The sequence below is a fragment of the Homo sapiens genome, chromosome 20 (genome assembly GCF_000001405.40).
Source record: "Homo sapiens chromosome 20, GRCh38.p14 Primary Assembly".
NCBI lineage: Eukaryota > Metazoa > Chordata > Mammalia > Primates > Hominidae > Homo > Homo sapiens.
Genome location: NC_000020.11, coordinates 18,672,813 through 18,699,361, shown reverse-complemented (window position 1 = coordinate 18,699,361; position 26,549 = coordinate 18,672,813). Strand labels below are relative to the sequence as shown.

Sequence of the window (26,549 nt, the reverse complement as noted above, 5' to 3'; positions counted from 1 at the left end):
CCTACTGCTGACCCATTTCCAGGCCTCTATTTGCTCCACCCAAGCCTCCTGCACAGAGACTCAAGGTGACAGATGGGGAAAAGAACACCGCTGCCTCAGGTGGGAAAACCTGGGTTGGAGGCTTCATTCTGCCATGGCCTACCTGTGGTTTTGGAGAAAGCTTTTAGAGACTAAAGCTTTTTCACATGTAAAACAGGCTATTAAATAAGAGCCCCTAAGGCAGGCTCTCTTGACCTAATAGCCTTCCTCTCCTGCTGCAACTCCACTCCAGAGTGTGAAAATGCCACAAATCCACTTTCCCAAACTCCCTGGTGACCTGCTGGACAGTAACCCAGCTCTGCCCAGAGGACATAGGAAACACCAACCCTCTGGCCTGCCTTGGACACAGACGTGGAGGGTGTAAGGGCACTGCTGTGGCAGCCATTTTGTAACCAAGAGGAGATGAGGTAGAGGACAGAGAGGAAAACAGAACCCCAGCACCTGGGAGCTGCCAAAGTAACCAGCCCTGGAGTCCCTGGGCTCGGGCCTCGGAACTCATGAAAGAAAATCAAATGTTCCTATTGTTTAAGGAACTTTTAACTGAGAATTCTATTTGACTGTGACTTTCAGCCATGGCAGGGCTCAGTCACCAACTATTCATAAGAGGGTAAGGAGACAGATGCAGGCAGGGAGCGGGAGGAGGGAATGGGAATGAGCTGAGCAGCAGCATCACAGCTGGAGGGCTGGACATGGATGACCAGCTCCTCACTTCCAGGTGTTTCCACATCAAGCATCCTGCAGACAGCTAACAAGTTCATTCTACAAAGTACAGTTCTCACCACTTTATCCTTCCTCTGCTCGGAAACAGTCAATGGTTTCCCACTGTCCACAGGGGATGCTTAACGCATGTGGGTTATGCAGCTAGAAAGACAAGGTAAGGACTTTGGATGTAAATGTAGAGGTTAAAAAAATAAATCACTGAATATGTATAGATGAAATAACACTGAGATTTGCTTCAAAGTAATAGAAGATGTTAAAGGGTTGACAAAATCAGAGCTGCCATCCTGGGTGTCCACTGATGCTGGACACATAGGGGTTCGACAGACTCTATTGCCCAGTGTACATGTGTTTAATATTTTCTGTGATAAAAATTTAAGATCATTTCAAGTTAATAATACAGAACTGAACTATGTAATTATTGTTAAAAACATATACATCAGCAGATCCTAGAAAAGCTTATCAGAATAGTAAAAATGTGTGATTTGCTAAAGTTTTACTGATTTGCTCATACAAAGGTGTTCATACCCATTTCTTGGAATTTCTCTTCAGTCAAAGAAAAGTATTATCAGAATAAAGATGATCACTTGCATACTACTTATAATTGTGAAAAATTAATCTAGATGTCCAAGAGTAAAGTTATGGTAGACTGATTTAATAAATAGCATGCAAACATAAAAATTATATGAGTTGAGAGATTGAGACCATCCTGGCTAACGCAGTGAAACCCCGTCTCTACTAAAAATACAAAAAATTAGCCAGGCGCGGTGACAGGCGCCTGTAGTCCCAGCTACTCGAGAGGCTGAGGCAGGAGAATGGCGTGAACCTAAGAGGCGGAGCTTGCAGTGAGCCGAGATAGCGCCACTGCACTCCGGCCTGGGCGAAAGAGCGAGACTCTGTCTCAAAAACAAACAAACAAAAAATATGTGAGTTGAATATCCACACTCCAAAAATCTGAAATCCAAAATCTTCCAAAACCCAAAATTTTTTGAGAACAGACACGATCCTGAAAGGTTGTACTCAAAGTGAATTTCACTGGAGAATTTTGGATTTTGAATGTTTCTATTAGGGATGCTCAACCAATAAGTATAATGCAAATATTCCAAAATCTTAAAAAATCCAAAACACTTCTGATCCCAAGCATTTTGTTTAAGGAATACTCTACCACTATATAAAATTTAGTCACCCTCACTGAAAATGGTAAAGCTTTAAGTGAAAAAGTTCATGACAATTACATCAATAAGAAGGACATGTGAATATCTGCAAAACACTATGAAGAAATAAGGAATCAAAATAGTTGTATTAAGCACATTGGTTTTCTTATTGTATTCAATGTTTTTGTAATGTTGCTTTAAATAATTTTTTTTGTTTTTTGAGACAGAGTCTCACTCTGTCGCCCAGACTGGAGTGCAGTGGCGGGATCTCCACTCACTGCAAGCTCCGCCTCCCAGGTTCTCGCCATTCTCCTGCCACAGCCTCCCGAATAGCTGGGACTACAGGCACCCACCACCACGCCTGGACAATTTTTTTGTATTTTTAGTAGAGGCGGGGTTTCACCGTGTTAGCAGGATGGTCGTGATCTCCTGACCTTGTGATCTGCCCGCCTCTGCCACCCAAAGTCCTGGGATTACAGGCATGAGCCACTGCACCTGGCTGCTTTAAATAACTTTTAAGAGATTTACCCAATCTTGAGTACAAGATTTTTCTCCAGTTTCTCAGATTTTAAATGGAAGCAGTAAAAACTACAGTTCAGGCCAGGGGCAGTGGCTCACGCCTGTAATCCCAGCACTTTGGGAGGCCGAGGTGGGCGTATCACCTGAGGTCGGGAGTTCAAGACCAGCCTGACCAACATGGAGAAACCCCATCTCTACTAAAACTACAAGATTAGCTGGGTGTGGTGGTGCATGCCTGTAATCCCAGCTACTTGGGAGGCTGAGGAAGGAGAATCACTTGAACCCGGGAGGCGGAGGTTGCAATGAGCCGAGATCGTGCCATTGCATTCCAGCCTGGGCAACAAGAGAAAAACTTTGTCTCAAAAACAAAAACAAACAAACAAAAACTACAGTTCACCTGTGAGCATAGTGACCTTTTCTAGACTCTGCTGACTCAGTGTGTCAGTCACGCCCATGAATTTCCTCCCTAATCTGAGCATCCATCATGACCGCAGGACCCCCAGTCTAGGAGGGCACCTGACCTGAAGGGCTGGGGTAACCAAACCACCTGAGACCGAGAAAGACGTGGAAACTACAGATGTCATCTTTCCTGGTCTTGGCAAGGCCCTGCACGTCCCCATTTTCACCTACAATGAGACTCCGAGACAGGCGGCCTGACTTGCTCAAAGACATTAGTGTCTGAGAGGTGGGGGAATACGCACAGGCAGGAAGGTGACATATGAGGCCCACATTCCCCTCGCTCCTGGAAAATTCTAGGGAAGATTCTGGAGCAGAGATGTGCTCTTTACAGAAGACAACGCAGCCTGGGTGCAGATATGACAACAGCATCCATTAAAATATGGTCAAATAGGAGTCTACAAAACACCTTGACTTTAAGGGAAAACAATTTCTCAAGACTATTATAATTGTCACCAAAGCCTTAAATCCTCCTATCTTCCTGACTGAATAAAACGTGGGCCAGGCACAGTGGCTCACGCCTATAATCCCAGCGCTTTGAGGGGCTGAGGCAGGTGAATTTCTTGAGCCCAGGAATCCATGGCCAGCTTGGGCAACATAGTGAGAACCCCATCTCTACAAAAATAAAATTAAAAATAAATTAGCCTGTGTAGTGGCACGCGCCTGTAGTCCCAACAACTTGGGAGGCTGAGGCAGGAAGATCACTTGAGCCTTGGGGGTTGAGGCTGAAGTGAGCTATGACTGCACCATTGCACTCCAGCCTGGACAACAGAACAAGACCCTGTCAGAGGAAAAGGAAAGGGAGGAAGAAACAGAAAAAGGGAGGGAGGGCAGAAGGAGAGAGAGAGAGAGAAGGAAAGAAGGGAAGGGGGGAGGGGAGGGGAGGGGAGGGGAGGGGAGGGGAATGGAGGGGAAGAGAAGGGAAGGGAAGGGAAGGGAAAGGAAGGGAAGGGAAAGGAAGGGAAGGGAAGGGAAGGGAAAGGAAAGGAAGGGAAGGGAAGGGAAAGAAGGGGAAGGGAAAGAAGGGGAAGGGGAAGAAGGGGAAGGGGGAGGCGGAGGGGGAGGGGGCTGGCATAGGCAGAGCATTTCCCTTATGGAAGGGATGAGATTCCCAGAGACCTGCATTGCTTTCTCCTGGTTTTATTTACCAACCAATAAACGAAATTCTTACAACCAGAGGCAGATGTGCACCTGAACGAGAGACCTTCAGTATCAATCTCATTTTCTCCCAGGCAAGGACTGGTTGGGTTCTGCGGCCAGCTACCCAGCCCACTCCAGCTCTATGTGTGAATCGTTGCTGACACTTGCACAAGGGAAAAGGGATTTTTTCATTTCTCCTGAGGGCTTGATGCTAACATGGAAGCAGGATCTGATCTGAACTCTTAACTGCAAGATACTGCAGGACACATTCGCAGAACACGCGCTGAGTATCTGTGTCCTGATGTTTTTCATGCTGGTCATGACCTGAAGGGAATCTATTGGCACATATACTATACGTCGGGCGTTTTTAACTTGATCATGGTGGCTCTGAGGTGCCACTTTTTCTTCACATACTGTACATACCTGAAACCACTCTTGGGGGTACTGCAGTCTTTAACCATGCTGTGTAAGACTGCTGTGGCATAAGTTCTCTTGTCCAAATAAAATTATTAATAAGATCTATATAGAGTGATATACACACTTTTGATTGTTTTCTAGATGTCTACAAATAAATGCAATTTGTGACCTGTATATAAAAAAAAGTAGGAGTCTGCAAAGTGTTCCATTTACAAGAATCTCACCGAGGCATGTCCCCCTCAGGGAAATGCAATCATTTCGGAAGGCCCGGCTGCTGCTCCCTAACCCAGTTGTTCCCTTTCCCAGTAAAGGCCTCCCCTTCCCGCGGCCTCTAGCTGAGGTTGCTTATTAGCTTCCGAACCAGTTTTATAGTATGAAAGGTTACCGTAATAATAGCCTCAATGTATTAAATGGTGAGTGCTAAGCAGAAGGTTTTCTTTGGAGCCCTCACCAATGCTCTGGAGAACACGTTCTAAACGCCTCACTAACCAGGGTAAGAAGATGCAGCTCAGAGAGGCAAAGGGACCAACTGCAAGGCACGGGTGGGCTCAATTTACCTGCACTAATCTGTCTCCCCATTTGTAAAATATGATGCTTAATTATCTCTCTTCCCTGCTGAGAAGAGGGAATAGGATCTTACTCCTGTATCCCCAGGGAGCCGTGAGCACTGCGGTACTGACATTTATGATGTAAGAATTTCGTTCACTTCTCACACCTTGTTCCTCACCCAGATGGTGTCTCTGTGAGTGCCAGGCCTGGCCTTTGTTGCTCCTCACAGCATCCCTGTGGTCAGAGCAGGGTCTGAGAAGATACTCAGCAACATCTGCAGACTAAACAAGCTCATTCCAGAAAGGTCGACCATGGTGCTGTCAGGTAGAACCTTCAATGCGATGGAGACTTCCTGCATCCGTGCTGTGCAATACAGTAGTCACTAGACACACAAGGCTACTGAGCACTTGAAACGTGGCTAGTGCAGCTAAGGAAAATTTTTTATTAATTTAATTTTCATGGCTACACGTGGCTGGTGCTAGCATGTTGGTCAGCACAGATCTAACTCCTAATTTCTAACGTCCTGCTCGTTTACTGATGGGCTTGTGGTCCCTGCATGTGCCCACTCTGTGAATACCTCACTGAGACTGGATACACAATGGGGATAAGGGTGCTGCTTTCAAGGTGCTTGGTTAAGGAGCAAAGGGAGAAAACAAATAAATGTCTAATAAATAAGTGTGATCCATGCGGAAGACAATTTTTTTTTTTTTTTTTAGATGGGAGTCTCGCTCTGTCACCCAGGCTGCAGTGCAATGGCGCAACCTTGGCTAGCTGCAACCTCCGCCTCCTGGGTTCAAGCGATTCTCATGTCTCAACCTCCCGAGTAGCTGGGATTACAGGCATGTGCCACCAAACCCAGCTAATTTTTGTAGTTTTAGTAGAGATGGGGTTTTGCCACGTTGGTCAGGTTGGCCTCGAATTCCTGACCTCAGGTGATCTACCCGCCTCAGCCTCCCAAAGTGCTGGGATTACAGGCATGAGCCACCGCACCTGGCCCTCAATTTTTCTATTACAAGAAAAGCTGGCAGAAAACAACAAACAATGTTATTCACTGACTAACTTCTCTTCATTTACATAAAAGTCATATAAACAAATGTTCCCTCCCTTCCCATCCACCACCAACCACCACAATAAAGAGAAATACAAGGTCAAAAAGAAAAGCAAAGGATAATTTTGTTGGCCGGGTGCAGTGGCTTACGCCTGTAATCCCAGCATTTTGGGAAGCCGAGGCGGGTGGATCACTGGAGGTCAGGAGTTGGAGACCAGCCTTGCCCACATGGTGAAACCCCATCTCTACTAAAAAGACAAAAAAATTAGCCAGGCGTGGTGACACGCGCCTGTAATCCCAGCTACTCGGGAGGCTGAGGCAGGAGAATCGCTTGAACCCAGGAGGTGGAGTGAGTGAGCTGAGATTGTGCCACTGCACTCCAGCCTGGGAGACAGAGCAAGACTCTGTCTCAAAAAAAAAAAAAAAAAAAAATCCATGTCCTGTTTCTAGAAAATGTCCAAATGATGTACAAGTAGCATATAGCAAAATAAAAGATAACTGATGTATTTTAATAAGAGTGCTGATTAATTCACATGCAGCTCTATCCTGTTTGGCAGAAAGATTTTTCAGGGATGATTTCATAAAAAGTAAACATAATTTATAGGCGTATGGTGCCAAGTGCTAGGAGCCAAGGTTCAGAGCCTCAGCTCTCCTTCCAGGCAGTCAGTGGGGCTCCTCCTGACTCCAGCCCAGATGGCTCTGCCTTTAGTGCATCCCTTTGAGCTACTGACCTCAGCAACAACTCAATCAGTGCCATAGCTAGCAGGCATTTGTCTTCTTCCCTCAGTGAGTGGATCCATTCATGGTGGCTTGTACTAGCCTGATGAAACCAGTTAACCTTGTCATAAAGGCAGAGTAAAATGACCTCTTCTCCCCCTAGCCTGCCCCAAACCTGCAGATAAAAGGCATTCCCCCTGGCAAATAGCCAAAGGAAGCAGAGATACAGAGAGCTTGTGGCAAATATGAATGGAGATGCTACGTTCCAGAGACTTTTCTCTAAGAAGTTAGAAACCATTTCATTACCTCCATCACTTACAAACAAGGCATCAAATCAGCAAACGTCAAACTCCTTGTCTTAGGTATCATGTTAATATTTAATTACACATGAAAGATGGAGATCATTAAGTCCTTGCATTGGCCAGTGTGTACACTAAAGTGAAGAATAAACTATGGAGGAGAACACAGTTTGGGGTGTGGCTCTCACATCATTGGTAATCAGTAGACAATAAAAGTATGTTCTTAGATACATGCTTTATTGTGCCCTAAGTTGTAAGTAAGGTGCTAATTTTTTTTTCCTTTTACATAGGCACAACCTCTTTGGTCTCTGCCTCTTTTCATGGCACAGACACCAAAAGGTAAGTAAGTGGCAGCCTGAAAACTGGCTTTATGCTGACCAGGTGTGAGATTCTCCAAGCAGTAGGGGCTAAGGCTGGGGAGTAGGAGTAATGCATGCACCCCAGATGCAGGCAACAAGGTGGGACATTGTCTAGCCCTGCACTGTCCAATATGGTAGCCACTAGCCAGGTGTGGCTATTTAAATTTTTCTTTTCTTAATTTTATTTTTGATTCAGAGGGTACATGTGTAGGTTTGTTACCTGGGTATATTGTGTGATGCTGAGGTTTATGGTACAGATGATCTCATCACCCAGGTCATGAGCATAGTACCCAATAGGTAGTTTTTCAGCCCACATCCCCTTCCCTCCTTTCCCGCTCTAGTAGTCTCCAGTGTCTGCTGTTCCCATCTTTACTTCCATGTGTACTCAGTGTTTAGCTCCCACTTCTTAGTGAGAAGCAGTATTTGGTTTTCCACTCCTGCATTAATTCACTTAGGATAATGGCCTCCAGCTGCATCCATGTTGCTGCAAAGGACATGATTTTGTTCTTTTTATGGCTACAGAGCATTCCATGGGGTATATGTACCATATTTTCTTTATGTGTCCACTGCTGATGGGCACTTAGATTATTTCATGTCTTTGCTAGAATGAATAGCACTGTGATGAACATATAAGTACATGTGTCTTTTTGGTAGAACAATCTATTTTCACTTAGGTATGTACATACTTAGTAATGGGATTGCTGGGTTGAATGATATTAATAGTTCTAAGTTCTTTGAGAAATCTCCAAACTGCTTTCCACAGTGGCTGTACTAATTTACATTCCCACAAATAAGGTATAAGCATTTTCTTTTCTCTACAGCTTTGCCAGCTTCTGCTCATTTTTAATTTTAAAAATTGCCATTTAGACTGATGTGAGATGGTATCTCATTGTGGTTTTGATTTGCATTTATCTGATGATTAGTGACAACAAGCATTTTTCCACGTTTGTTGGCCATGCATATGACTTCTTTTGAGCAGTGTCTGTTCATGTCCTTTGCCCATGTTAAAATTCTGCCCAAAGCAATTTATAGATTCAATGCCATTTCTATCAAAATACCAATGTCATTTTTCATAAAAACAGAAAAAACTATCCTAAAATTTATAGGAAACCAAAAAAGAGCCCAAGTAGCCAAAGCAATCCTAAGCAAAAAGAACAAAGCCAGAGGCATCACATTACCTGACATTAAACTATAGTATAAGGCTACAGTAACCAAAACAGCATGATACTGGTACAAAAGCAGACACACAGACTAATGTAACAGAATACAGAACCCACAAATAAGGCTGCACACCTACAACCATCTGATCTTCAACAAAGGTGACAAAAATAAGCAATGGGGAAAGCACTCCCTATTTAATAAAGGATGCTGGGATAACTGACTCGCTATATGTAGAAGAATGAAACTGGACCCCTACCTTTCACCATATGCAAAAATTAACTCAAGATGGATTAAGATTTAAATGTAAGACCTCGAACTATAAAAATACTGAAAGAAAAACCTAGGAAATACCCTCTTGGCATAAGCTTTGCTAGAGAATTTGGCTAGGTCCCCAAATGCAATTGCAGCAAAAACAAAAATTAACAAGTGGAACCTAATTAAACTAAAGAGCTTCTGCACAGTGAAAGAAATTATCCATAGAGTAAACAGATAACCTATAGAATGGGAGAAAATATTTGGAAACTATGCATCTGACAAAGGTCTAAAATCCAAAATCTACAAGAAATTTTTAAAAAATCAACAAGACAAAAACAAATAATTCAATTTTTTACATGGGTAAAATTATTTTTTAATTTTTTTTTTTTTTTTTTAGAGACAGGGTCTTGCTCTGTCACCCAGGCTGAAATGCAGTGGTGTGATCACAGCTCATTGCAGTCTTGAACTCCTGGGCTCAAGTGATCCTCCCACCTCAGCCTCCTAAGTAGCTGGGAGTACAGACACACACCACCACGCCTGGCTTATTTTTGTTTTTCGTAGAGACAAGGTCTCGCTAAGTTGCCCCAGGCTGGTCTTTAACTCTTGGCCTCAAGTAATCCTCCTGCCCCAGCCTCCCAAGTAGTTAGGACTGACTACAGGCATGGGCCACCATACCCGGCTTAAATTTAAACTTATGAAAAAATTTTTAATTAAAATTTAAGTTCCACAGTCTAACTGCATTTAGAGTGCTCATTAGTCACAAGTGGCTAGTGTCCAATGTACTGGACAGTGAGATGTAAAATATTTGCAACACTGCAAAAAATTCTATTGGACAGTGCTGGTCTAGATAGTTTTAAAACAAATAATAAAGTCATTATGGTTTTTATTGTCCACATGCACTGTAATTTTAAACAATGTTAGTGATAAAATACCAACATCCTTCCTGCCCCCATTGACCCTCTCCATATGCCACTGTCCAAATAAACCTGCCTACTGAGACAGAGGATAACTAATCCAAGGGCAAACTAAAGCCTCAGTTGCATCCCTGCTCAAATGAATGCTAAAAATGAAAACAACAAGAAACCGGTGTATATTTCATTCCCTTTTTCTGTCCCTAACAGAGGTACCCTAAAGAAAGTCTATAGGTGATTCTATGAAAATCTAGAGAGAAAACTGATAAAGAATTTTAAATCACCAAACTCCATATACCCCCTTAAAATTTCACATAACACACATACAAAGGGGGCGGGCAGTGGAGGGCAGAGCACACCATTCTTCACCTCTCAACTGTATCTGTTCACATGGGAGGGAAAAGGCAACTCTGGCCTCAGACTCCCATTCTGGTAAAGTCCACTTCCCAAATACAAGCCTAAAATAGAACCAGCTTCTTTATTCCGAAAACGAATGGAAAAACGGGGCCGTGGAGAGCTGTTCAGCTCTCTATTACGGTCCACGCATTAAACTTTAACACAGCTATAGTCTTTTTCCTAGCACGAGTATTAGAAATGCACACAATGTTTCTAATTTCAATTCCCATCATATTCTGCAATGCTTTCAGAGGGTTCTGAATTTTTTATTTCTCATTGGGTCATGCCTTCCTGGCCACTGCTAGCTCCACCTGCTAACACATACCTCCCCACCCCCCACAGGCCACCCCAGGGAATGAGGATCAGAGCAAGGACTTCCTGCTTCCTACTCAATATTCTGCGGGCATTTTCTCCCAGGTACACGGGTTACCCAATTAAACACCACATTCCTGGAAGGAGATCTTGGCTCTTATCATTTCTGTGAATGCTTCATAGCTAAAAAACCAAACACTAGAAGATAAAATGAGAGCAGACAACAAAAATAACACTTGGCAATCTAGTATAGAAAGATGGGTCGTTCCCGGCAAGGGACCTTCCAGATATCCAAAAGGTAATAGTTTATGCCCCCAAAGTGTTACGCTGTAGTCCGCTGACATTATGTAGGAAAGCCGCAGGGTCACCCTGTCTCAGGACTGTTGCATGTGCTGCTCCTTCTCCCTGGAGTGCTCTTCCCATCCCACTTCACCTCATTACACCCTTTTCCTTAGCTCAGCTTCTCTTCCTCAGGGAAGAGTTCCTGTACCCTGCATGAATCTAGGTTCACACTCCTCTGACACTTTGTACTTACATTTCATGGCACTTATCACAGGTTATAATTAATACTTATTTGTAGAATTATTTCAAAAATGTCTGCCTGATCCCAAGTCCGAAGACTCAGTGAGGAGAGGGTCTGTGTCAGTTTTGTTCATCATGGTATCCCAAATGCCTAGTGCGTGGCATAGTAGGTAAATGATAATATTTGATAGGTGAAAAAATTGATTAGTGAATGAATAAACATCTTCTGAGAACCAAGGAACTATGTTCTTATACTGACATAACTTTAGCTTCAAATATAGATGGACCATGCATGGGTTTTATTAATTAAAAGAAATAAAGAGATATTCCGTTTTACTCTTTGAAACTAGCCGCTGGCATCAGACTGTTCTTTTGATGAATGGTGAAGGGAGAATCAACTAACAACCACCTCTGAAGTGGGATGCGATGATACCTTGCTTAAAGATTAAGAAGGCACAAGTCCAAACAGCCTTCTGCAAACACATTTTCTCCAATTCTACAAAACTGTCTTCTTTGTTACTGTTACTGTCCAAAGACTGTGCACCCCATCCTTCAAAATCCTATTTTGGCTAGGCACAGTGGCTTGTGGGAGGCTAAGGTGAGAGAATCATTTGAGCTCAGAAGTTCAAGACCAGCCTTGGCAACATAGTGAGACCCCGTCTCTCCAAAAAATAAAAAATTAGTTGGGCATGCCTATAGTCCCAGCTACTCCAGAGGCCGAGGTAGGAGGATTACTTGAGCACAGGAGATTAAGGCTGCAGTGAGCCATGCTTATGCCATTGTACTCCAGCCTGGGTGACAGAAACCTTATCTCAATAAAAAAAGAGAAAAAGAAAAAAAAAGAAAACCCTTTATTTATGTTTTACAAACATAATACACTATAAATACCTCCTTTTACTTCCTACAGTTCACTAAGTCTAACCTGGGCTACCACTGTGGAAGAGATTTCTCCTTTATCAGAAGGCACTTCAGCAAACTACACTCCTGTACAAGTTCTAATCCCTCTTAACTTGCTATTTGTAAAGCTGCTCAGATTTGAGGCCCTGTGTCCCTGGTCCTGACACCCCCTCACCTCCCTCCACCAACACTGCCACCCTCACACCCTGTGTGCTGTCATAGTTCCTCAAACTCACCCAGCACTGGCCCTCTCTGGGACCCAACCTGGAAGTTCCCTCTACCTAGGATGTCCTTCCTTAGACCTCTGCATGATTGCCCCCTGGCATAGGTCTTGACTCAAATGGTTCCCTAAAAATGCAGCCCACTAGGAAGCCCCATCCTTCTCCTCTGCCTGAATTTTCTCCATCACCTTCATCACCACCTGGCACACCTGTCTGCTTTTGCACCATTTCCCATAGCTCCATACAACCCCCAATAGACCAGAATCTAAGCTCTGTATGTATCTTTCTATGTTCACTGCTAAATCCCAAGTGTCTAGACAGTGCCTGGCACAAAGTCAGTGCTAAATAAATATTTGTGGAAGGCCTGAGTGAGTCTGCATTGTGGTGGTGCAACTTCTCATAAAATCTCTTCCCCAAGACTTTCTGCTCTAACCTGGTCTTTGAGTAGGGCCATAGCCATGGTCTGCTACAAGGAAGAACACGGTGGACAACAGAGAACACACACATCAATAAGAAAAAGAACACCTCCATTGAAAAGATAAAAACCAGCAAAGGACAGGAACAGGCAATTCACAAATGCACATGCACACACACACCACACACACACACACACACACACACACACAGCTAATAAATATATGTTTAAAAGGTTCAACCTCACATATAAGAAATGACATGTAAATTCCAGCTGGATCACTTATCACCTACTAAATTGACATGGATTTTTAAAGCATATACAATATTGGGAAGAATCCAAGAAAACAAGTACTCTTATACTTTGCTGCTGGGAAGGTAAATTATAAACTTTTTGGAAGGCTAACTGGCCATATATAACTATATATAAAACAATATAACTGGAATTCCACTTCTAGGAATTTATCCTGCAGAAATTACCAAAGGTATATATGCAAAAATAGATGTGCAAGGGCACACACTGCCTAAATATCCAACAATAGGAGATTGGTTTTTAAAAGCTGATACATTCACATTATGGAAAACTCTGCAGCCATTTATAATCATGCTAGAGAAGAATATTTCAAATGGGGAAAATGTTTATAAAATCTGTTTAAATAAAAAGAGGACACAAACTATGGTGGATATTCTATATCTCAACGTAGGAGAAATACATCATATGTCATTGATTTCTGTAAATGTGTGTCTCAGTCTGGATCCTCCAGGAAACAGAACCTGAGGCTGACACTTTCTTTAGCAGGTGCAGAACCAGGGCGACAAAAGTGAGGCCACTGGGAAGGGAAGTAAGAAGGACTGGGACATGATGCAAAGGCCCTACAGGCTCCCACTTTACGATGGGCCTACAAATGACACTGAAGTTGGCGCAGCACACAGGACTTTCTCTGGGCAAGCAAAAAGAAAAACCATGACTTGGTGTACACTGCAGGGGAGAAGGAAGAGGGGAACTTATCTGCCTGGCTTTCTCCCTTCTCCTATTCCCATTGTTCAGTGTGACTACAACACACTCTGGGCTGCATCAAAGAAGGTACATTTGGGATGTCACATCAAAGCACAAGTTCCTACTTAGGTATTTAGCTTTGAGAAAAGAGAGCTAAAACAAACCACAGAGTATGAAATGTGCTGATTTGGTTTTTAGCCCTAGGAATCTGTACTAAGCCAGAGTTGAGTATGCAGCAACAACAAAATCCAAATGCACATATGAGAGAGAGACTCGGTCACCCACGTGTCTGCCATGGAGCCACTGAAGCTGGAGCGAGGCGCAGGGCTCAGTCACTCCTGCCTCCCCAAGGATGTCTGCCATACCTTCTCCCTTCCTGGCGCCTCTGCCCCCCTGCACATTCACACAGCCACCCATGGCCACAGGTCCAAGGCAGAAAGCACTCTCACATACACCCGTCATGTGCAGCCAACTGGCAGCTATGTATAAGGAGGAAAACAGGTCTGGTTTTATACATGCCTGGGGTGGATTCTCTCTCCTTCCAGCACCTTTATCCCTTGCCACATATTTCCTTCAACATACTCTAAAGGGTTGGCTGTGTCTTGTGAGCTGATCTCTGGAGCCTTCTAGCCTTCCTCTTTCCTTCCAGAAGCCTCTTATCAAAACTGTTTGTGGCTGGGTGCAATGGCTCACATTTGTAAACTCAGTAATTGGGAGGATGGCTTGAGGCTAGCAGTTTGGGACTGGCCTGGGCAATACAGTGAGACCCCGTTTCTTCAAAAGAAATTTTTTAAATATGCCAGGGCATGGTGGTATGCACCTATAGGCCCAGCTACTCAGGAAGCTGAGGTGGGAGGACTGCTTCAGCCCAGTTTGAGTTTACAGTGAACTATGATCATTGCACTCCAGCTTGGGTAACAGTGAAACCTTATCTCTAATTAAAAAAAAAAAAAGCAAAAAAACAAAACTGTGCCTTAGTGGGGCTGAGCCCTCAGGCACAGTCACTTACAACAGGATTTGAGAAACTTCCGACTTTAGCTCCAACATGTAGAGATTTTGGGAGTTGTCACTGTCATTCTTATAACAAGAAAAGGCTGGACAAACTGAAAATTAAAGACTTTTCTTGAACCCATCAATAAACTAAGATCATAGGACAAATCACCACCTTGAAATCTGGAGAGACAAGCAAATCCAGAGTGGCAGTTGAGATCTGCTTAGCTGTGGCAGAAGCTTCTGGAGCCATAAACTGAAAAGAACATCTAAATGGTAATTTGGGGCTAGGTGTGGGGGCTCACACCTGTAATCCCAGCACTTTGGGAGGCCTACGCTGGTGGAAAACTTGAGGTCAGGAGTTCAAGACCAGCCTAGCCAACACGATGAAACCCCATCTCTTCTAAAAATATAAAAATTAGCTGGGTATGATGGCATACACCTATAATCCCAGCTACTCAAGAGGCTGAGGCACGAGAATCGCTTGAACCCAGGAGGCTGAGGTTGCAGTGAACTGAGATCACCCCACTGCAATCCAGTGTGGGTGACAGGGTGAGACTCCATCTCAAGAAAAAAAAAAGTCATTTGGTGAACTGCTGGAGGTGAGCATGAACTAGTGTGAAAGTGAGAAACTCCTGGGAGCCCATCATGCAGGGGTGGGGTGGGGAGGCAGGAGTGGGGAGATCCACATACTTTGGTGGATCTTTCCAGACAGGAACTGGACCAGATTCTCACAGTGAATTGCTGAGAAGACCCTCATGTGGCTCCAGTAGGAGAGAAGAGCAACCCTTGAGAAATACACATAGCCACATCTCCATAACAAAGGCCCACTTTCCAGGGAAAGGCCTACTCTCCAGGCTTTGCAGAGCCTCATCTGAGCTTTGAAAAAGGAATTGCTCCTACTCTTATCCCCTCCAGGATACCTATCTAAGTAGAGGGGGAAAAAAACCATAGTTACAAGAGGTCAGGGCTTTGAGGAAATAGGCTGGAAAGGCTGCAGGCAGAAAGGGAGCAGGAACCTGCTGCCATTGCCTGTCCTTGGAATCAAGCAAGAAGCACGGCGCCCAGTCAGCTTGCTCGAATTCTGGAGCATGCGTATCCCACCTCTGGGAATACTGCTAGTTCCTAACCATAAAACTACCCCCAAAGAAGGTCACAGTTGAATGGGAGCATAAACTGCATCAGGCTATCTTTGAATTGCAAAAAGCAGTGGCTCAGTCAAAGCCTGTTGGGCCCTATGATCCACACTCAGATAGGACTTTGGAAGTGTCTTCAACCTGCACTTACACAGACTGAAGCTTAGGGCACAGCTCATGACTACCAGCCAGCAGCAAGCACTGGAATCTCAGACCTGAACATTTCTAAACATAGTGGTATGGTATATGCCACTCGAGAAATGACTATTGGCTTGCTGTTGGGTACTAAGGAAAATTGCCCCAATGACTGAAAGACATAAAATAATCTTGAAATCTGAAATACCCATAATGTCTTAGACAATATTGACAGAGAAACACTCTAATAAGAAAGGCAGTTCCCAGAAGAGTCACATAATAAAATGGAAATGGTCACGCAGAAATATGCTAACAGAGGAACTCAAGGAGCTACTCACTGTATCCATGAACAGGTAGTCTATTTTCACCTAGGGCCAACTTTGGAACCACCTGAAAAGCTGCCAGACCCTACTGTCATATGCGCAGTGCCCTATGACCAACTCACAACTGACCAACAAAAAGCTGCCTGGTTTACAAATGGCACTCCAAGATAGATGGGCAGCATTCTGTTTGGAAGTCCATTACACCACAACCGACTAATAGGAAAACTCTGATTAAAGAAGGTTAAGAGTAAATCAGCTCAGTGTCCTAATCTGTAAACTGTTTTCCTCATAATGAAAAAAATATAGGCAACAATATGAGTCCTGAAGTTTGAGCATATACATATTCATGGGCAGTAGCCATGGCTTGCCACATGGTCAGACAGAACACAGGGCTATTGAGGGTATACCCACATGGGGCATGAACCTATGAAAACCACTATGGTAATTTAAGGAGCTAAACAGACATGTTGATGCCCATAAGAACCTTCTTCCAGGACAGAAGGTAACTGAAACCAACTAGTGGATATTGGGTGTGCTCGCTTGGGCCAGCCATCTGTGTCCAAAAAATAAATAGACAAGGGAGCTATGGCAAGGTAGAGATGAGTTGACTGTCAACATTTTCCTCTTGTATGCTCTAAGGCACAAAATGTCAAGGATTGTCCTGTCTACCAGCAAGAAAGAGACTACAGACAGCTAAGGGAGGAAGGTTCCACACACAGCTGCCAAGGACAACAGACAACATGGGACCACTGCTTCTACACTCAGGAGGCCACACATGGGTCCTAACAGGAACATACATTTACTCTGGACTGGGTTTTGCATACTGGGTGGGATATGGTAATGCTCAAGACACTATTAGTGGATTAAAACAATAGATACTGTGCCCATCTGGGAGAGCATGTTACATTTCTTCAAAGCAAGGAACACAGTTTACAGCACAATGTCCAACAATGGGCGAAGAAATCTCTCATCACATGGTCACACATCACGTATATATCACCCTCAGAGTAGTGGCCTGATGGAATTGAAAGAGGTAATTGAAATGTCTGTTGCCTAAAATGGGAGGAGATGAGCATATGAGGGGCTGGTTATACACCTTCACAAATACGGGTTCCCCCTCTCAGTAGATCAATTATACTTCTTTTTAAAATCCACAGTGATTGCCCAGAGCTTACAATACACACTTGTAACTCATCTAAGCCCACCTTCAAATAACACTGTACTGTTAACGCCTGTGGGCAGGTACCATAGAACAGCACTCCCAGTTCCTCCCTCCCATGGCTAGTGGCACCGCTGCCACTCATCTCCCTTATCCATATGCCACAATCGCCAGGACATCATCACTATGATTGGTTTAAATCGTTAACTTTTGAGTCAAGTAAGAATAAGAAAAATAAAAGAATTTATTTTACTTTCATTTATCTTTCCCTGACGCTCTTCTGTTCTATATGTAGATCCAAATTTCTAACCTACTGATAATATTATTTTCCTTCTACCAGAAGAACTTCTTTTAACATTTCTTGCCGGACAGGTCTACCAGCTATGGATCCCCTCAGTTTTGGTTTGTCTGAGGAAGTGTGTTTTTGTTTCATTTCTAAAGGATAACTTCCCTGGATTTAGAGTTCTAAATTGGCAGCCTTTTTCTCTCAACACTGGAAACATTTTCTTCTACTCTCTTCCTGCTTACATGCTTTCTGACAAAAAGCCCATTCTAATTCCTGTCCTTGTTCTTCTCCAGACAATGATGTTTCATTTTCATATTGAAAAACTTCCCAGTAAAACACCTTCCTCCAAAAAACACTTGGTGGATCCCATAGAATTTCCAATGGGATAAACCTGAATGATATGTGCAATCCAGACAAATTAATGATGGCTCAAGCGGATGACATCTTGCCATAAAAAGTGTCTGTGGGGCTTCATCTGATTTTCACATTATAATGCTTAAAATAATTGCACGCCTTGCCTGCAAACCAGATTGTAAATGAATCCAGTTGCTTATAAAGTGTCCCAAATGGACAGACAGCTCAGCGTGCCCAGCTGGCATCTGAACCCTGAGATGACAGCTTCCCATCCCCAGTCAGGAGTCTCCTGCATGAGGGTGTGTGGCTCAGTACTCAGGACCACCTAACCCTGGCTAACTCAGATAAAAAGCTCCAAACCACTCACCCGGCGTAGAAACACACAACAACAACAAATCACTGGGATAAAGAGCAGAGAACACTTATTTCTTGCAAGTGGTTATTTGTTGACTTATAGAAAAGGACTGGCGAAAAACTATTCTGAACCAAATTACTTATTGATACACAGTCAAAACAAAAGTCTCTCTATGGTGGTTCCTGGGGACGCAGTAACAGCTGGAAGACTTTTATGGTTCATAAAATTGTCCTTGTGATACAGATAAACTCACTCATTCAGGGAACCATTTTAAGATGACACCACCAAAGTTTAACCCGTCATCTACTCTGAGCTGGCTTTATTTTGTACTTTTAACCTCCTGAAGTGAGGCCTGTTCAAGGTCACCTTGTCTCAGACCACAGTAAGAAAATAGCTGTGTGGTTGCTTTGCTATCTCCCTACAGTAGAGACACGGAGGCCTTGGCCTGCACACCACAGGAGTGAGCACCCCACATTGGAATCAGGAGCCACACTCCAGAGGCAGCGATACCAGATGCTTCAGTTACCCAGACCATGGCATGGAGCTATACTATGACAAAATGAAGGTCAGAGTAGGTGTTCAATCCAGGCACAGTGGCTCACACCTGTAATCCCAACACATTGGGAGGCCCAGATGCGAGGATCACTTGACCCCAGGAGTTCAAGACCAGTCCAGGCAACATAGTGAGACCAAAAAAAAAAAAAAACGTAGACAACAACAAAAATCACTGTGATAAAGAGTGTCTCTACAAAATTAAAAAAAAAAAAAAAAGTTAGCCAGTCATGGTGGCACACACCTTTAGTCCCAGTTACTCAGGAGGCTGAGTGGGGAGGATTACTTGAGCCTGAGAGGTCGAGGATGTAGTGACCCATGATTGTGCCACTGCACTACAGCCTAGGTGACACAATGAGACCGTGAATAAAATTAGTGATTTGATAATCTGCAAAATGGGTGTTAGAAATGAGTTCTCACCAGTGAAATTAATGGTATATGTGAAATGTAGATTGGCTATGATATTTGAAGCACACTCCCCTCCCCAGCATAAACAAGGTATATAAATCTACCTAGGTCTATAGTCTCTACAACACCTAAGGAAGGTGTCCAAAGTTTAATTCCTGAGCAATGATACATATACTGATCCTGGATCAGAGACTTCTGAGGGCCTAATGGAGACCCAATTTTATGAACCATAAAAGTCTTCCAGCTGTTACTGCATCCCCAGGAACCACCATAGAGAGACTTTTGTTTTGACTGTGTATCAATAAGTAAGAGATAACAGCTCCTGCTCCTATATCTAGAAGATGTGGCATCTCTCCTGAGCAAGGAGGCTTCAGCAAGCTAACAGAACAGGTTGCAGGAAATATTTAGGGCTTACTTATTAATTCATGTCTCTTTAATAAACCTTGTAGAACAGAATTTGGTTACTTATTTCCATCACATCTGGCAGTGAGGGAATAACCAGCCCTCACCCACCTCAAACATCTAGCAGTGATAATTACCTACCAAAAAGAATCTAGGAGTTGAATATGGCCAGTTTGATTAGGTCAGTTCTCAACAGCAGTTTATTCTTCCCCCTGACAATCAGGCAGATCAGTGTTACATATAAATCATACCAGAAAGGGTAATTATTTGAAATCTCACTTTTAATATCTGTTCTCCAAAAAATGTATCTCAAGTTCCCAGACTCCTTAGAAAATTAAAGACACTAGTGGCAAATTAAAATCACTACTACAGTTTGGATGCACGTCATGTAAACCTCAGACTATAATAAGGTGGGAGAGAACAAGGTTCATGCGCTTTATGAGGGAACCTTGTTCCACACCATGAATAAATAAATAGGCACCTGATCCTTTTGATAATGGTGACTGCCAACAGCACTAACCACGAGTATTATTCCCATAGCAACGGTTGTCAGGCCAACAGGCCTTTTCAGATGCAATCAAAGAAAATGTAAATCAAGAAACACTTTCACAACTCAAAAGGATGGTCTTGAGAAAACCAGAAATAAGTTGCTGGCTCACTCATGGACCTGGTTAAGGGTGTGGCTCACTCCGGGTTTAACTCTGAATACTATAGAAATGTCAAAAAACAGCTGCTGACATAAGCCCAGGGTCTCACTAGCTTTTTCTTCCACTCCTAATAAGCCATCTAATGGATGACCAGACAACATGGAGAAAAGAGCTCTCCTAGAAAGCCAAGGCCCAGAAGAGTGAGGAGAAGGCCTGTGTCCGGCAGGGTCTACTGATTCTAAGCCTACGACATACTGAGAAGAAAATCAACTCTCTATCAAGGAATGTGATAGATGTGGGGTGAGCAGGGGAGGGGAGAAAAAAAAGTAGTGCTGGCAATGCAGGAGGAAGGGAAGAGGAAGGGCGGTGACGAGGGGAGGAAGAGGAATGGGGAAGTAGAGAGAGAAAACAAATGCGGAACCAAAAAGGTAAAATGTTGCCTTCCCAGAGGGTAAACAGCTCACCTGAACTTCATTTCAACATTGAACATTTAGCTAATGTCCATTTTATAATCCTAAAAGTGTATTTCTGATATGTTTTCAGATCTTTTATTTTAGAATAGATCACAGTTACAATATGGTCTCACCTGCAATCGAGTTTCAAAATATTATATTACGAGTTTCCAGAAAATGACAAGTATCAGAACTCAAGAGATACTACATGTCCAGTGAGATGTGGGGTTAAAGTAGGCAGTGGGCTAACCTAGAAAGATGCAAGCTCATATGAAGAACAATTTCTGGACAGTAAAGTTGAATTACCAGTGGAGGTGTTAACAGTCCACCCCTCACCCAGAGGCCTCATAAAATCAGCTCTATTTCCTCTCACCTAAGGGGCTGAGCTGGTGCACCTGCAGACAGAGGGCTGCGAGGTGGCCCCATGGCCCCAGGTGCTCTCAAGGTGCTGATCAACCTGAGGCTATCTACATCAGGTCGCTCCAGTACACAAGCAGTTTCACTAATTTCTCTTATTTGCTGACCTACCTGACCCTGCTGGCATTTAGTGAACCTCTTGGTTTCAAATTCTCTTCTAAGCCTTTCTTTTATGTTCCAACTAAATTGGGCAATATTCTATTGTCTCAAAAATCTCAGTGAAACCTGCATTTCTAATTTATCCCGCAAGAAACCAAAGAATCAAGGTGTGCAGTGTTGTAGAAGTGAGCTCTTCTCTTTCCTCTCACCAAGCATGTTTAAGATCACACTTGTGTATCCACTAAGGAGAGCTGAGGTTTAATTTTTAAAAAGAAGCAACTCCATTTCTCAAATTACTGCTTAAGATTGTGTAGATAGTCCCGAACTTTGTCTTTGCAGTTGTATTTGGATAGAAGTTTGTAAAGAGAGAAAAATAAGAGGGAATTCGGGACCTAGTTCTTATCTGACCCGGCCTCTCTGTCCTGTGTCCTCTGCATCAGTAAACTGAAACAGTTCTCCTTTCAGGTGTGGGGGGAATTTAATAAAACTGTATCGGTGGAAGGTTCTAGACACTCTGGAAAGTAAACATCTGCATTAATCAGTGTTTGTTGAACACCCATGGCTTATGAAAAGCATTCCCTGGGAGCAGATTTCCACCACGTCCAACATCAGAGCAAAGCGTTCTGCTCAGCACAGGATGGGCATTAGAGGCATGTTAGCCAGTTTTGATCACCCCTCCCCAGTTCTCTGTGTCAAGTGTTCTTAAATAAGAGAAAACAGCTCTGGGAGGAAGAAAAAAATTCAGCAACATAAACTAGGAGCATCTCATCAACGAACTGTTCCCTACATAACTCAGAGCTGCACAAGAGAACACGGATTCTTCAGCAACAAGTTGAACAGTCACAGCTCCAGTCCATTAAAAAAAAAAAAGTGACATGTTATCTACTCAATGGAAAAACTTGTGCATGTTTTCTTTCGGTCTGTAGAAACAACACAGTGAAAACTCAAACCATTTCAAATGCACTTGGGCTGTTAAGGGTTGTAAAGCTCTTGCATTCAAGCAGAGGAAACAAAAGCGTCAAATAAGAAAATATTTACTTGCTCATAAAGTTCACAAGAGAAGGTATTCAGCTGTATGTTATTTATAAATGATTAATTACTTTGTCACCTGAATAATGTATAGGAAATACCTGTTTCTTTTCTTTTTAGGGGGTGGGAGGCAGTAAGAATAAAAACAAGAGAAACGCACGGCAAGTAGGAGCTAGGAGCTGGTAAATGTGAGTTCCTTTCTCCTTCCCTTTCCTGCCCTTTTGGGGGGCTTGATATGGAATTACTCAAGGGCGAACGAGAATTACTCCAGCGCATGCACAAGTGTGAAACACCAGACTGGGATCCAAAAGTCTGCTTGTCACTGAGCCGTAAGTTAACCAGCGGCAGAGCTGAGAACAGATAGGACCAAAATGTGATCCTACAAGCAGCAGCCGTCGGTGAAGACAGTCAGGACATCTCTGGTCTTCAAGGCTCTGAAGATAAATCAGTTGTGTGTGCACTCTACTCTTGTCTGTTTTGCTGCTCAGCAGAACCTTGAGATTTTGGGTGGGTAGAGACAAATGAAGGTTCAAACATACAACCGTCAATTTTCCAATTTATTGGCTACACCACGGGGTGGAGAAAACAGCTTCTCACAGGGGAGGCTGCTTGGGTTTCCACTTGAGTTGCCTGGCAGTTGCAATTCAATCTGCACATGCTACTCCCCACCCACCCCCGACCTAATTTCTTTAGACAATTAGGAATAGCTGACTTTTTTAAAAAAACAAGGCAAACTCCACATAAACAAAGTTGCTCTATCACCTCATTTTTTTTATTCTACCAAATTGGCAAACATTCACAATGATGTGCTGACTCCAAGGTGGGGAAGGGGCACCTGCAAACTCTGCCAGTTAAGGGTACAACATACAAACATCACAGAGGAGCTCTTGATGAGCAGTTTCGAAACCTTGGACATGTCTGCATTCTCTACCCCAGCATTACAGGTCTGGGAACTTACAGCAAGCATCAACCTGGGCTACATGGCAAGATTCAGTACACAGTACAGTTCACCAAATCACTGCTCCTAAGAGGAAAAACTAGAGCATAACTCCAAAATCCAAAAACAGTGATTTCGCTAAATAAACTATGATATGTCTTATGGCAGAATAGTAGGCTGCCATCAAAATTGAGGTCAGAAAAGATTATTTCAAGGTATGCAAAAACATACCAATATTCACAATATTAGGAATAAAAAACTTAGGTTATAAATCAGTATGTTGTGATCCCATTTCGTAAATACACACATAGGTATATTTACATATATATGTGTAAATATACACATAGGTATATTTACATATATGTGTGTAAATATACACATAGGTATATTTACACATATATATGTGTGTAAATATACACATAGGTATATTTACATATATATGTGTGTAAATATACACATATGTAGCCATAGGAAAAAAGGACTACATAGAAAAAAGACTAAAACCATTTTGGTAATGTGAAGGTTAGAATTAAAGGTGATCTTATTTTCTTCTTTTTAAAAACAAGATTAAGTATCATCATTGATTTAAAGAGTACAAAGTTTGAAGAAAATGCTTCCCCGAGACATTTGGCAAGGATACAGCTTTCCTCTATTATGCCCAGGCAGCCACCTCTGAAAGCTCCCTAGAATATAACTCAAGAATGGCACCCAAAATCCCTGAGCATCTTGTTCCTCTCCAGCCATACAAAGGGATGACAACAACATGGATCCAGCAACCGGAAGGTATGTTTGCCACTGTGTGTCAGCCAGACTTCAAAATGGTCCCCAGTGATTCTTGCCTCCTGGTATTCATGACCCATGTAGTCAGGTAGGTCTGACCTACATAACCAACAGGATGCTGCAGAAATGACAGTATGGGACTTCCAAGGCTAGGGCTCTGGGGGAAACCAGTCCACATGTTGTGAGGACATTCAAGCAGCCCTGTGGAAAAGCCCATGTGGCAAAACACTGAGGCCTCCTGCCCACAGCCAGCATTAGCTTCCCAGCCTCTGTAGTGGGCCACTTTGGAAGTAGGCGCTCCTGCCTGTCCAAATTACAGTGGACCGAGGCCCCAACCAAAAGCTTGGCTGGAATCTCATGAGACACCCCTGGCCAGAAACACCTGGGCTCAATGGTCCAAATTCCTGACCCACAGAAACTGTGTAAAAAATGTTTATTGTTGTGTTGAGCTGCTGAGTTTGGGAGTAACCTGCTATGCTGCACTAAACAACTAACAGAGACGGCCTGACTTAAAGACCAATGTGACACACACAGAATTCACTTCCCAGGAGCTGGGACTGGGGTCTCCACCAGCACAACTGCAGGCAAAGGCTGAAAGGTCTCTGCACAGGCACCCACACTATTCTGCCCAGGGTGGTCCCAGGGGCAGAGGCAGGGGCAGATTTCCATCACCATGGTCTAGGGCTCCCCTGTGACAGACGGGAGGCCAGCTGATTTCCAAAACTGCTTGGTGAGCACTAACTGGGGCAGCAGAGGAGGGGCATCAGCTCCCCCAGAGGAGATAGCATCTGGCCTTGTCCACAGAGGCACTAGGAATCAATCTGGAGTCACGAGGTCACATGTGGCCCCAAATTGGGGGTAAACCCACAGAAGAAACGACCCTCCACAAAGTAACTCTTGAAACTATGCATGCTGCCCTGCAATCCCTTTGATGTACCTTTAAGTTCATTTGGACCTTTTGATATTTGTTCTTGAAGTCATCTCCAAGTAAAATTATTTAACTCTCAATATCGTGACCATATTTTAAGTGACTTGGGTTAACTGCCTCCCTATGGAACTGCTACAAGCAGTTTCTAATTTAAACAGCATTTTTTCCATTCCCCTCTCTACCTCTTCTCCTGCTTTTTAAAAAATCATAAACGTTTGGTAATAATCTCAGGGTTGTCAGTTAAACACTGCAGGCAAACACTGGAAATCAAGACAGCCAGGCTTCCAAGTCAATAAAATTATTATTGCTCAGAATGTTTCACTTGCAACAGTTTCTCTGTATATTAATATCAAATCAAGTTAGTAAATTGGAAAAAAAAATCACCAAAGTAGGATATATAAATCCACAGGGAAATACAGAAATTTAGCAAGTAATTACAGGAAAAAAGGTAATCCTGAGAAATTTGGTTTGGTCATTTAAGAAAAGGTGATTCTGAAATGGTTTGTAACAAAATAGAAAAATACGATAAAGTTTTTAAATTGTTAGTTCTAAATAAAAAAAAAAAACTAACATAGGGTTTTATTTCATTTTTTTAGAGAAACATTTTTCTCTAAAATGGATACAATCATTTTTATGTAGTGGGCCACCACACAATTTATAGAGAAAACTAATCAGATCAACGTTGCCAGGGTGGTTTTGTGGGACTCTCGGCTGAAACACACTCTAGGCCCACACAGCCACACAACTACCTCTCTGAGGACTGGTAAAAAGACCTCTGTGTTTGTTCCCCGGAGCCCAAACTAGAAATACCATTTTCCCTCTCCTGTAAGGGTATTTTTTTAACGTCATTTTAGACATAAACAGGCTTTAAAGAGTAGAAGTGCTTTTGAAGATAATGAGTTACAGTATTTCAAAGAAACTGTACTTTTATTTTTCTAATCAACTGAGACAGACACCATTCTAAAAAGGTCAAGAATCATAAACTTGACAAGAAAAGTTTTCATCACTCTAGGCCTTTCCCTTTACATTATATAAGAGCAGGAATCTGGGAAGAATTAAGTCCCTCCCATTCCCTCTCCCAATAACTTGTAAAAAGGAGTAGCAGTCACAAAAGAAAATATGATTCATAGATATATTCTACCATGTGTTTTGACTTGTAGAATTTTTCATACCAGAAAAGGTTAAACATTTTATTAACTGTAAGGTGTTTAGGTGGGTACAAAATATGAGGAAAAAACATTAATTAACCTCAAAATTTCAACTTGGGACTTGAACATACTGGACAGATTAAACAGCTAGGCTATCAATTAACAGTTACAGATAATAACAAGACTGTGGAAACCAGATGGCACTCCATCAATAAGCTACTCCATAAGTACGAATGACATCTGGTCACTTAACTCTTTCTGCAATTCACTAATTCGATAAACAGTTACTGAGCGCTTGTTATGTACCCAGCCACCACCGTGCTCAGTATCGCCATGCATAGAATGAAGCAGAACCCAGCTGGACGACAGGGCCCGCTCGCTTTTTGGCTCAGAAGCCGGAGACTTCTACATCTAGGAAGCCAAATTATGAACTGAACAGCACCTGTCTGGCTTATCATAACAAACAACCATAATGGTACAGCCCCAAATCAGCTAATGTATTAATTAACTAA

At 43.0% G+C, this 26,549-nt stretch overlaps 1 protein-coding gene and 1 long non-coding RNA gene across 2 annotated transcripts in view, besides 1 other annotated feature; one reads left to right on the top strand and one right to left on the bottom strand.

Moving 5' to 3' along the window:
• Positions 1-26,549, bottom strand: part of DTD1 (D-aminoacyl-tRNA deacylase 1) — a 178,591-nt gene that overhangs the window by 67,283 nt on the left and 84,759 nt on the right. The window lies entirely within an intron of this gene.
• On the top strand, positions 654-24,967 carry DTD1-AS1 (DTD1 antisense RNA 1). The gene is made up of 4 exons (NR_109955.1): positions 654-913; positions 7,346-7,394; positions 20,383-20,547; positions 23,748-24,967. It is a non-coding gene; the product is annotated as a DTD1 antisense RNA 1 (long non-coding RNA).
• Positions 15,335-16,204: an enhancer, noted in NCBI's record as "OCT4-NANOG-H3K27ac hESC enhancer chr20:18663802-18664671 (GRCh37/hg19 assembly coordinates)". NCBI's record gives its function as "activates a minimal SCP1, AML or CMV promoter by ChIP-STARR-seq in naive H9 embryonic stem cells {active_cell/tissue: H9 hESC(naive)}" and the evidence as "EXISTENCE:reporter gene assay evidence [ECO:0000049][PMID:30033119]".